General features: G+C 37.7%; 1 long non-coding RNA gene across 1 annotated transcript in view; it reads left to right on the top strand.

Moving 5' to 3' along the window:
- The window catches only part of HCCS-DT (HCCS divergent transcript), a 263,596-nt gene that overhangs the window by 62,313 nt on the left and 188,187 nt on the right, over positions 1-13,096 (top strand). The window contains exon 4 of the long non-coding RNA NR_186561.1: positions 10,171-10,223. This is a non-coding gene — a long non-coding RNA (HCCS divergent transcript). The remainder of the gene's footprint in view (positions 1-10,170; positions 10,224-13,096) is intronic.

The raw sequence follows: 13,096 nt of genomic DNA, 5'->3' as shown, positions 1-13,096 counted from the left end.
ACAACTATCTGCACACAGAAAAGAACCATTGCAAGAACCAAAAAATCAAGTGGGCAATCACAGTACCTGGTTTTGACTTCATATCATTGAAAGAGGCATTGAAGAGGGTCAGAGAGACAGTCTTGGATCACCAACACCACCACTCTCCCATCTTCTGCCAGTGGCTGTGCAGTGCAGAGAGTCTGTGATCTTCGGGGAGGGAGAGCACAGTGTCTGGGGGACTTTGCATTGAACTCAGTGCTGCCTTGTCATAGCAGAGAGCAAAGCCATGTTGGGCTCAGCCATTGCCTGTGCATGGAGGGAGCATTTGGACTAGACCTAGCCAGAGGGGAATTTCCCATTCTATTGGTCTGAACTCAAGTTTCTCGGCAAGTCTTGCCACATCAGGCCAAAGTGCTCTGGGGTCCTAGGTAAACTTGATAGCAGTCTAGGGCAAAAGGCCTGCAATTCCTAGGCAACTCTTAGCCCTGGGCTGGACTCAGAGCTGGAGGACTAGGGTGGCACATGACCTAGGGAGATACCAGCTGGGATAGCTAAAGGATTGCTTATACCACTTTTCCTCAAACCCCAGGCAGTGAAACTTGCAGCAATGAAAGTGTCCCCTTCCTTTTGCTTAAGGGGAGGAGAGTGAAGAGTAAAGAGAACTTTGTCTTACATCTTAGATACCGGTTCAGCCACAGTAGGATAGGGCACTGGGCAGAGTCATGAGGACCCCATTCCAGGCCCTGGTACACAGACAACATTTCTAGACACACTTGGGGCCAAAAGTGAACCAGCTGCCTTGAAGGGAAGGACAAAGTGCTGGCAGGATTTATTACCTGCTGACTAAAGAGACTTGGGCCATGAATAACCCAAAGCAACCATCAGGTAGTACACTGTGGGCCTTGGGCACTGCAATGTGCTGACTGTAGGTGTGACCTAGCATGTTCCCAGCTGTGGTGGCTACAAGGAAAGACTCCAAGTAAAGGGGACTTTGTTTTGCACCTTAGGTACCAGCTTGGTCACCTTGCAGTAGAGCAACAAGCAGGCTCTTGGAGTCCCTGAGTCCAGGCCTTAGCTCTTGGACAGCATTACTGGAACTGCCCTGGGCAGGATGAAGAAACAAGATCCCATTATCTGTTGCCTATAAGAAACATACTTCACCTGTAAAGATACACATAGACTGAAAATAAAGGGATGGAAAAAGATATTCCATGTCAGTGAAAACCAAAAAAGAGCAGGAGGAGCTATACTTATATTGGACAATACAGATTTCAAGAAAAAACTATAAAAAGAGACAAAGAAGGTCCTCATATAATGATAAAGGGGTCAATCTAGCAACAAGATATAAAGATTATAAATATATGTGCACCCAACTCTGGAGCATCCAGATATATAAAGCAAATATTATTAGAACTAAAGACAGAGGTAGAACCCAATAAAAGATCCAGAAACATCAACACCCCATTTTCAGCATTGGACTTATCATCCAGACAGAAACTAAACAAAGAAATACCAGACTTAATCTGCACTATAGCCCAAATGGACCTAACAGATATTTACAGAACTTTTCATCCAAAGGCTGCAGAATAAACATTCTTTTCCTTGGCACATGGATCATTCTCAAGGATAAACCATATGTTAGGTCACAAAACAAGTCTTAAAACATTCAACAGAACTGAAGTAATATCAAGCATCTTCTCTGACCTCAGTGGAATAAAACTAGAAATCAACAAAAAGAGGAATTTTGGAAACTATACAAACACATGGGAATTAAACAATATGCTCCTGAATGACTAGTGGGTCAATGAAGCAATTAAGAAGAAAATTGAAAAGATTTTTGAAACAAGTGATAATGGAAAGACAACATGGCAAAACCTATAGTATAGAGCAAAACCAGTAGTAAGAGGGAAATTTATAGCTATAAATGCCTACATCAAAAAAGAAGAAAAACTTCAAATAAATAACCTAGCAAGGCATTTTAAAGAACTAAAAAAGCAAAAACAAACCAGACCCCAAATTAGTACAAGAAAAGGAATAATAAAAATCAGAACAGAAATAAATGAATTCAAAATGAAGAAAACAATATAAAATAACGACAAACTACAAAGTTGATTTTTTGAAAGGATAAACAAAATTGACAGACTTTTAGCCAGACTAGTGAACAAAAAAAGGGAGAAAATAAAATCAGAGATGAAAAAAGAGATATTACAACTGATACCACAGAAATTCAAAGGATCATCAGTGGCTACTGTGAGCAACTATATGCCAATAAATTGGAAAATCTAGAGGAAATGGGTAAGTTCGTAGACACATACAAACTACCAAAGTGGAACCATGATGAAATAAAACACCTGAACAGACCAATAACAAGTAACTACATTGAAGCCATAACAAAATGTCTCCCAGTAAAGGAAAGTCCAAGACTCAATAGCTTCACTGCCAAATTCCACAAAACATTTAAAGAAGAACTATTACCAACCCTACACAAACTATTTCAAAAAATAGAGGAGGAATATGTCCAAACTCATTATATCAGACCAATATTACTCTGATACTAAAGTCAGACAAGGACCCATCAAAAAGAGAAAACTACAGGCCAGTATCTCTGATGAATATTGATGCAAAAATCCTCAACAAAATACTAGCAAATCAAATTCAACCATACCTTAAAAAGATCATTCATCATGACCAGGTGGTATTTACCCCAGGGATGCAAGGATGGCTCAACATATTCAAATCAATCAATGTGATACATTGTATCAACAGAATGAAGGACAAAAACCGTATGACTGTTTCAATTGATGCTGAAAAAATTTGATAAAATTCAGTATCCCTTCATGACTCTCAAAAAACTAAGTATAGAATGAACATACCTCAATATAATAAAAGCCCATAGCTAGTATCATACTTAATGGAGAAAAACTAAAAGTCTTTCATCTAAGATCTGGAACATGACAAGGATACCCAGTTCACTGCTGTTATTCAACATAGTACTGGAAGTTCTCGCTGGGGCAATTAGAGAAGTGAAAGAAATAAAGGGCATCAAAACTGGAAAGGAAAAAGTCAAATTATCATTGTTTGCTGATAATATGACCTTATATTTGGAAAAACCTAAAGACTTGACCAAAAATTATTAGAACTGATAAATTCAGTAAAGCTACAGAATACAAGATCAACATACAAAAATCAATAGCATTTCTAAATGCCAACAGTGAACAATCTGAAAAAGAAATTGAAAAGTAATCCCATTTACAATAGTCACTAATAACGTAAAATACTTAGGAATTAACTTAACCAAAGAAGTGAAAGATATCTACAATGAAAACTATAAAATACTCATGAAAGAAATGGAAAAGGACACAAAAAAATTGAAAGATACTCCATGTTCATGGATTAGAAGAATCAATATTGTTAGAATGTCCATATTATCCAAAGCAATCTACAGATTCAATGCAATCTCTATCAAAATACCAATGACATTCTTCACAGAAATAGGAGAAACAATCCTAAAATTTATGTGGAACCACAAAAGACCCAGAATAGCCAAAGCTATCCTGAGCAAAAAGAACAAAACTGGAGGAATCACATTACCTGACTTCAAATTATACTACAGAGCTATAGTAACCAAAACAGTATGGTACTGGCATAAAAACAGACACATAGGCCAATTGAACAGATTAGAGAACACAGAACCAAATACATACACCTACAGTGCACTCATTTTTGAAAAAGGTGCTAAGAATATGCCTTGGAGAAAGGGCAGTCTCTTCAATAAATGGTGTTGGGAAAACTGGATATCCATATGCAAGAGAATGAAACTTGATTCCTATCTTTCATCATATACAAAAATCAAATCAAATTGGATTAAAGACTTAAATCTAAGATTTCAAACTATGAAACTACTACAAGAAAATGTTGGGGGCCATCCTGCATGTAGAATTCTTAAAAGAAAAAAGCAAATAAGAATAAAAAAGAAAACACTGGGGAAACTCTCCAGGACATTGGTCTGGCTAAAAATTTCTTGATTAATACACCACAAGCACAAGCAACCAAAGCAAAAATGGACAATGAGATCACATCAAGTCAAAAACCTTCTGCACAGCAAAGGAAACAACTGGTAAATTGGAGCGACAACCCACAGAATGGGAGAAAATATTTGCAAATGATCCATCTAACAAGGGATTAATAACCAGAATATATAAGGAGCTCACACAACTCTATATGGTCAAAATATTTAAAGAACCATTTCTCAAAATATGACACACAAATGGCAAACAGGTATATGAAAAGGTGCCCAACATCATTGATCATCACAGAAATGCAAATCAAAACTACAATGAGATATTCTCTCACCCCATGTAAAATGGTTTTTATCCAAAAGTAAGGTAGTAACAAATGCTGGTGAGAATGTGGAGAAAGGGGAACCCTCATACACTGTTGGTGAGAATGTAAATTAGTACAACCACTATGGAGAACAGTTTGTAGGTTCCTCAGAAAACTAAAAATAGAGCTACCATATGATCCAGCAATCCCACTACTGGGTATATACCCCCAAAGAAGGGAAATCAGTATATCAAAGAGATACCTATGCTCCCATGTTTATTGCAGCACTGTTTACAATAGCCAAGATTTGGAAGCAACCTAAGTGTCCATCAACAGTCGAGTAAATAAAGAAAATGTGGCACATATACACAATAGACTACTCTTCAGCTATGAAAATGAATGAGATCCTGTCATTTGCAACAATGTGGTTGGAATTGAAGGTCATTATGTTAAGTGAAATAAGCCAGGCACAGAAAGACAAACTCATGCTCTCAATTACTTATGAAAGCTGGAAATTAAAACCATTGAAGTCATGAAGATAGAGAGTAGAATGATGGTTACCAGAGGCTGGGAAGGGTAGTGGGTGGGTGGGTGGAGGGGCAAGTAGGGGAAGATTAATAGGTATAAAAGTATGGTTAGATAGAAGGAATAAGATCTAGTATTTGATAACACAACAGGGTGACTACAGTCAACAAGAATATATTATACATTTAAAAATAACTAAAATAGTATAATTGGACTGTTTGTAACACAAAGAAAGGATAAATGTTTGAGGTGATGCATACTCCATTTACCCAGATGTAATTATTATACGTTGTATGACTATATCAAAATGACTAATGTACCCCATAAATATATATACCTACTATGTATGCAAAAAAATTAAAAATTAAAAATTGGAGGCATAAAACTGCCTCCAATGCAGCAAAATGATGAGAAACACATACACACACACACACACACACACACACACACACACATGAACACACAGTGGATTGAATCACTAATGAGTGTAGGAGGTGCTCAGATATTAGTGAGTGGCTGAAAGTGTTGCTGTTTAGCAAATTCTCCTATGAACAGAAAGATTTTTTGGAAACCTCCTTCCAGAATGACTTAAAATATGCAATGTGCTCCTTGATAATAAAATTTAGAATAGAATAAAATTAGTTGCATTTATAGGTTTGAAACCAAAGTTTTCTACTACTTCAAATTTGAGCCCTTTGTGAAGATAGTTTCAAGTATAACAATATAAATTGTTTTTTTTTAAATAGAGTCCCTCCAGAGAATTGAAGCATAGCTAAATCCTTCCACAGAAAAGAATAATTGCTTAAAAGAGAAAAGCAAGTCATCCTGTTTTCACTTGGCTATTTTCTTTTCCAAGTATGGACTATAGACATCTAGAAAGCATGGTAATAGTGAGTTAATATATATCATGCTTTGTTTATTTTGACCTTTAAAATAACACACTTCTTAAATGTCTAGTTCGTGTAATTTCTATATTTATCCAACCAACCTTATATCTTTTCCTATTTTTCACTTTTCAGGGAAAATCTTGGTTCATTTTCCTCAAGTTTTCTCTTTTCAGGCATTGTTCATTAATTTTGCTAAGAATCTGTTTACTCAGAGCATCACAGTAGGATATTTTGTTTTTGAAACAAAATTTAAGCACATTAACACACAAGCAATGGTGTGTAATATGTATGGGTGAATATAATTACATGATCCATTTATATCTTCCATAGCTAAATATAGGATGCCAGTTGTTTGTTGGTTTGTAAGTGATTATGCCTTTGATTACATTATCTCCACTTGCTATACCTATAATGGCAAAGAAGTCTTTTCTTTTTCTTGAATTTTCTAGGATCCAGGTGACATGAAAATATCTCTGGCATAGCCCAAGCATGGTTGTTATGGTGTAGAGAAAGGCTCTATTGCATTCAGCCATTCAGGGGCTCAGGCTCCATTCATGTTATGGCTCCATGCCCTGAGACCTTAGGATTCAACTGGATTAACTACAAACAAATGGTAGAAAAAGTAAAAAGGAGCATGAAGAATTGTGTATGGGGGGTCGGGGGTGGGGACGCGGTAAGGGAACAGGCCTAGAAGTGGCAGGCATCACTTCTACCCACATTATGTGGGTCTCGGAATTCAGTCGTATGGCCTAGTTGCATCACAGAGAAGGCTGGGAAATCTATAACATTGAGGACATGTTTTGTTCTCCTAGGAGGACAAAAAAGAAAATGGGGTTTGGTGAGTTCATAGCATCGTCTCTGATACCATGTAGTTCACTGTGGTATGGCACCATAAAGGTCCCTCATGTTCCCCAAGTAGTCTCTAATGGCAAGCTGATTCTTTTATCCAGTTTGAATCAAGGTTGAATGACAACCTTAATTCCTGTTAGGTGAGAATAAAGTATCATGAGTCATTTAGCCCCCATGATGAAGGCTTTCAGAGAAGGTCTTGTTAAAGGGTGGGTGGGGAAAATTCCTAGGGATATGAGGGGTCAGTGGGGAGTGAAGTGAGATACTGTAGAGTAAGCGAAAAGGTTGACCAGTTACTCCTTACCTACTTACAATGGCCTGAACTGCTGAGTGTGCAAGAGGGACAGTTTTAAAAGCTGTCAGGCCACAAGCTTTCTAACTGCCATCAGCATAGGTTGTTTTTCCCATCCTGTGGCCTTTGGTTGGGTTCTCTAGGAAACAGACTCTAAAATGGAAATTTGCATGCAAGTAATTTATTGGAGAATGCTCAATGGATGGAAGGATGAGAAAGAGGGAGGAGTTAAAATGGTCATGGGTCAGGAAGCTTTAGCACTGGGATGGCTCTTCAAAGTTGTCCTGCCTTGAGGCAAGGGGGCCAGGCTTTTGGATCCCTCTCTATTTGACAGTCACTGGATTTGAGCTCCTTCCAGGGAGGGAGTGTGATCTAGGGTAATGGATGACATCTGGGCTTCTACCACTGCTTTTCTGTATGCTCCCCCTTCTTGGAATACTATGTGAGAAGTACAAAAGAGGACCCCATGAACATGCTTTTAGATGCCATGGTTCTATGTGGCAAAATTCTTCTACAAAGACAAGCTTTGCTTATGCTCTACTTTCCACCCTCATCTCACCAGGCTGGAATGGCCTCCCCACATTTCCTAGCTTATACAAAGCATCCTCATCCTTTCAAGTATATTTCAGTTTTCGATTCGATGAGGCACTCTCTGCTTCCCTGCATTCTAAGGGAACTCACACTCACCAGAAATCTTTTATAGTAATTATTGTCTGAATTATACATCTGTTACTCATTAAGCACTGTTTTACAGTGCTAGCTATCTTTTCTGGTGTGTACCTTCACCCAAAAATGTAAGTACTTGAAGGAAATGGTTATGTTTTATGTTATGTGAGTCATCATCAGTGTTTGGTACAATGCAAGTCTTATTTCATTAGTTTGACAAGTATTCATTGAGCACCTGTTATGTTTGAGGCACCATGATGGATGCTGGGGAGACTAAGGTAAGAGTTCTCACACTCAAGAAGATTATTCTTGTGTGAGAGAGGGACAGACAATTCTATGGCAAATAATCTGAATAGAGGTTTCAGATGATAAAGAAGGATCAAAACTGCCGGATGGACAGGGTTAGGTCAAGGATCGGGGTGAGGATATGGGTCAAGAGAGGTATCAAAAAGATCAGTCACCATTAATATGGTGATATGAAAAACTCTGAAGCTTCAGATGATTAGGGTAGAAAGTCAGGAAGCAGGAACTGACAGACCTAAAAATTTATGGAAATAGGCACTAATTTATGGAACTCTGAGTTCAGCCCAGGGTTTCTCAACCTTGGCACTATTGACATTTTGGACTTTAAATTTCTTTGTCGTGGGAGGCTGTCCTGTGCTTTGTAGGATGTTTAGCAGCATCCCTGGGCTCTACCCACTAGATGTCAGTAGCTTTCCCAAGATGTGACAATTAAACATAAACCTAGATACTACAAAATGTCACCTGGGGGCTCAAAACACCCCCAGTTGAGAACCACTGAGCTAGACACTTGTGCAAAAAGCAACACTGGCCATGATAGCAACTTCACTATGAGCAGGGGACATTCCTTTCATGAGGTGAAAAGTTAGGAGTGTGTTTAGTGCTAACGGAAGGAAGTCCAAATGCTGACACTCTTTCTTGGGAATAATACACTTGTGGTGGGTGTTTTTCTATCTACTCTTGATGGTCTGTCTACCTAACAAAATATCCCTGCAGTTGAGATCTGGTATATGGACCCTATTTTCCCTAAAGTTAATAGCTCCACTTTTTCAAGTGCTTCTTATAAAGTACATGATCATAGAATAAAAATATCAAGAGTTAATAATCATTTGTTTATTATTTTTTGGAAACTTTTAGCAGCAGGGAAGTATGCGGATTTCTAGAAATCACCAGGGTACAGTGAAAGTTGCCAATAAAAATGTAAAATAATACACATGTTGTTATGAAGCAGAAACATGTTGTGTTTCAAATAAATCAGTATCCTTAACAATTAGCAAGAGAACTTGAGTTTTGAAAAAAGAACAATAGTATCATAATTTTATTATCTTTTTCCTACATATCTGGAATTTTAAAAACTTTTTCAATTAAAAAAACATTAGATTATTTAGGTCACTCTTGAGTTTAACAGTAGTTTTGAAAATGTATGGAAAAGTTCTGCTTCAAATATCTTCTCCTTTTACAGAATCTTCTTAATTATTTAAAAGAACTTATCTGTGAGTTATTCTCTGATATATATAGTGAAAATCCAGAGAGAGACTAGAAACTTTAAAATTACTCATTATTTTTTCTGATATAACTATAAAGTTTGAAAACTAGAGACAAGTATAAAAAATGTAATTTATCATATTTTGATGTAATTGACCTTTTCTCTTGCTTATTTTTTAGTGGCGTTTAAGCTTTAATGTACATAAGAATCATAGGGATAACTTGTTTTAAAAGGATGTCCCAGGGCACTACAAAAGAAGAGTACAGGATGAAACCTGGGAAACAGCATTTTAACAGCTACCCCAGATGATTCTGATTCAGAAGGTCCATAAAAACCACCTGGAAAAATGGATTTATGTTCTTATGTTGCCATCATATCATTACCATCCATTGACTGATTAGGGGAGGGAAGAAACTTTTGCTCTGTCTGTTTTTAAAAGAGCCCTGTTATTTGTAAAGATCATTCTTTCTACAACAATTAGCTTCTATTTAAGACACAACATTCGTTTTAGTCTTTCAGTACACTTTTGGGTGACTTTCCTTGGATTGGTAATCATTCAGTGTTTTTTGCCTTTTATCATCTGGAACAGATACATGAATGGTCCATTTAAGAATTAATAATCTCCTCTGGACTCCCAGTACATTTGGCCTGTATTTCTCTTGGGATGTGTTAGCTCCAGGCATGATGTAATGTTAACACAGAGCGTCTATGGAAGGATCAGATGAATGGCACAGACCTAGATGATTTTGGCGGGCAGAATCTGTAGTAATTAGCACCTCTTAAGGTAAGAGGGTGAAAGACAAGGCAACGTCCCAGGTGATTCCAAGTTTGGGAACCTGGGCAACTTGAGTGAGAGGAGCTGTGTTGGGGAATTTGGGAGCATGGGTTAGAGAATATAAGAAGAGTGGCGGTGATATGGTTTGGATTTGTATTCTTGCTCAAATCTCATGTCGAATTGGAGGAGGGGCCTCGTGGGAGGTGATTGGATCATGAGGAAGTTTCCCCCCTTGCTATTCTTATGACAGTGACTGAGTTCTCACGAGATATGATGGTTTAAAAATGTGTGGCACTTCTCCCTTTGCTCTCTCTCCTGCCTCCATGTGAAGAAGGTGTTTGCTTCCCTTGTCTTCTCTTCTCAGGTAAGTTTCCTGAGGCCTTCCCAGAAGTAGAAGCCTGCACAGTCCACAGAACTGTGAGTCAATTAAACCTTTTTTCTTTATAAATTACCCAGTCTTAGGTAGTTCTTTATAACAGTATGAGAACCAACTAATACAGGCAGGATGCAAAGTTTCAGGAGCCAGTGGGACATCTGTTAGAGATGTGTATAAGGAGTTTAGAAATTTCAACCATGCTTCAGAGTTAACATTTGAAATAGAAAAGTAGCAGCCAAAGGTGTAAATGTACTAACTAAAAGCTAGTAAATATTAATAAAAGAGAGCCAAAAACTAAGCTGTGAGATGTGCCCTCATTTAGAAACCTGAAGAGGTGAAAAGAAGGGAATAAAACAAGTAAGAAAGGGACAAAAAAGGAAGTGGGAACTTACAGTAAAAACTTGTCGTAGAATCAAGGGAATGCTTCTGAAGGAAGACGTGTCTAGCAGAGGCAAGCCCCGCTGAATTGAGAGAGGAAAAGTATTGAAACGAAGCTTTTGAGTTTGGTGACCAAGGTTTCACTGGTGACCTTTGACAAAACCTCAGTTACTTGAGTAGACTTAAATGAAGTGAAAAGTCATGAGCTTGAGGGAGAACTTAAAACTCAAAATTACTGTAAGAACTTGAGTCTTCCAGGTCGACTTGTCATCAGGTTCCTTGTTTTTGTTGTGGATTTCCGCTTGCAGGATAAATTTTCCCCTGCAGTCTTCCCTTGGTGACCTCTTCAATGTAATCAGTTCAGTATTTCTGCTATACCTCCATTACCCACATCTGAGGCTCTGAATTAGGTGGAGTTAATTGGTTCAATTGGAGATTCACACCCATGGCAACTTGTCATCTCCTAACCTCTTGATGGAGTATACCAGCAAATGAGAGATGACTTGAACTAATCTGACCCTTTCATTTCACATCCACAGCACAATTACTCTCCCTTTTGCTCGCCTAACACGATCTCAAATACTAAAATGACCCAATCCAGCTTATTAGATCCCCAAATAACTTAATATAATAACATAATACAAAATTTAGACATTTGGAAAAGGCACACGGTAGGGTCCGTATGTACCTGCTCCCATTTTTTTCTATGGTTCAAAGCACAGTTTTAAGAAACCAGTTAACTTTCTTCAGTGAGGCCTATTTGCCAGCTTCTCTACTGGGAATTATTTATAGTATGGCAATAAGGTCATTAACTTGTACTTGGTTCTGAAAAGCTAAAAACTTTCGAAGTTGCAAACTTGAATTTTTGCCCTGATCTCTCTGACTCCATTGACAATAATATTTTCCACCATGCCATGGTACCTTGACAGATCATCTTTCTCTTCAAATTTTTTTTGTGAGAATGGCTAATTGACATGTTTTCTTTCTGCTGCCTTCCATGATATATAAATACAATTAAGCAATAAAACCAAGGAAACACAATATCAAATTGATTATATATGACCCACATGTTGAGGAATAAAACATTTAGCCTTATACCTTTTCATACTCCATGTGCAGCTAAGAACAAGTCCTAGTTTTCTAAAGCACCTCTTGATGAGCTAAAAAAAAAAAGGACCTTAATGAGTCTATCTTCTATACCACATCTCTGATGTTTATAAATATTTCATATAAAGTCAATTCATGAAGTTAAACTTCTGAAACAAAATTATGGGATCCGACAGACCCCATCTGTTTAAGGCAAAAGTTGAAAATGTCTAATTCAAAGGCATCATAAATTATTTATATGTAAATTTAAAAATTTAAAGTTTCATTTTGGCTTTTTTTATTTTCAGAGAAGGAAAGGGTCATGTTAGATCTGATAACAAGTAAGTATAGTTATATATCAACATATTCCAGATATTCGGGTGTGAAATACCCCCATAAAGCATCCTTGTGGAGCAGCGTAACTTATTTCTGAATTTGAGTGCTCTGAGGCATTGGGCTAGTGTGAGGTTGAGGATGTCAAGTCTAAAAAAGATGTGGGTTTGGTTCTGGACCATGGTTGTGGCCAGAGGAATGTAGTCTGGCTGCAGGGTCAGAGTGTTAGACACTAGAAGGACAGACTTTGTGGTGGTAGATGATGAGTCCCTTAGAGAAGGACCCCAGGCAGTAGTTATGGGATTATGGGAAATGACACCCACCACTCAGGGACAAAGTTGGCAAGAGGTGTCAATGGCTAGGACAATGCCAGCCAAGTGTGGATCACAGAAGAGCTCCAGGCAGTCCCAGTGGAGAATTCAAAGGATAAGGATGATTGCCACAATGGTAATTATGGGAATTGTAATGGCCAACAATTGAGTAGCACTTTTGGTAAGACTTGGTGGTACCACTTGATACTGTATGGCCACTTTGTCTCAGAAATTTGGTAGCATTGTGTCTATAGTAACTCCAGCTACAAAGGTCTGAGAAAGAGGGAAGCTGACAACCTCTAGACTTTTGGTCATTGATCCTACAGTTCAATGATTTTATATATTTTATTTTTGTTCTTCTCGACATGCTGATTTAATTTTATATAGTTTATTTTTATGTATGTGTGATTAAGTCTCTTAAAAGTCAACCAAATACAGACTCTGGAGCCACATTGCCTGGGTTCAGCTGCGGGCCCTTGGACAAGTTACTTGACCTCTCTGTGGTTTAGCTTTGTCATCTGTAGACTGGGAACAATATCCCTACATTATTAGTTAGTTATGAGGATTTAATGAGTTAATACTTGCTTTACATAGAGTAAGAGTTTTCTATTAAATTGCTAAAAACTAAAAATAAAATTTTATGTAGGTTAGTAGGTCCAGTTGTATCCGTTTCACATGGGGGCATTGTTTAAAATGCAGATTCTGGAGTGTCACCCCAGACTTACTCAAATTCTTAAAGGTAGCCCTGGGAATCTATATTTCTAACAAGTCTCTCAGGAAATTCCATTTTTCAAAGTAAGATCTGG

The sequence above is a fragment of the Homo sapiens genome, chromosome X, assembly GCF_000001405.40.
Source record: "Homo sapiens chromosome X, GRCh38.p14 Primary Assembly".
Lineage (NCBI taxonomy): Eukaryota > Metazoa > Chordata > Mammalia > Primates > Hominidae > Homo > Homo sapiens.
Note: the sequence above shows the minus strand (reverse complement) of the source record. Positions and strands in the feature narration are given on the sequence as shown.